Raw genomic sequence first — 679 nt, forward strand, 5'->3', positions numbered from 1 at the left:
GGGAAAGGGGGATGGGCTGTCAGATCGCTAAATCCAGTTGCATCCAGAAAGGACGAACTTGCTGGGTGCCCTATTAGGACAATAGTTCTGAGGACCAGAAGCAATTTAAGCAAAGTCTGCATTACCTGGCCCAACCCGTGTTTCCCCCACAGACTTTACTCCCTCCCCACCTGTTGTCCATCTTGGATCAAACTGACCCCTAGAATAAAAGTCAGCATGTGGATGTAACGGGCTGGGGCTGCCCACAAACCGGCCCTGTGAGTGCTTTGGAAAAAAACGCCTTGCCAGGAAAGAATGATTCAGAGACATCAGGGCTTCCACTCTCAATCTCAGGTCTCAGGGCAGTTTCAGGTCTAGGTCAAGAGTTGAAACAGCCCAGACAAACCATCCTCAGCTCCCTCAAAGTGAGGCTGCTCTGAACCTGTCTGAGGTTTCTGGTCAGGCCTGTTCAGAAGCTTGACTAGGCCTCACTTTTCCATTGGCGGCATGTTCTGTTAATTTGGAAATTTTCATGAATTATTTTGAAAGCATCCATGACTGGGGGGAAAGAAGTGGATGCCTGATTTGTCACTTTTATTTTTTCATTATTATTGTTATTTTTTGAGACAGTGTCTAGCTCTGAAGCCGAGTCACTGTCTGGGGTAAATGACCGAGATTCGTTGTCTCACGGCCATGGAAA

Source organism: Homo sapiens, chromosome 2 (genome assembly GCF_000001405.40).
Source record: "Homo sapiens chromosome 2, GRCh38.p14 Primary Assembly".
Taxonomy (NCBI): domain Eukaryota; kingdom Metazoa; phylum Chordata; class Mammalia; order Primates; family Hominidae; genus Homo; species Homo sapiens.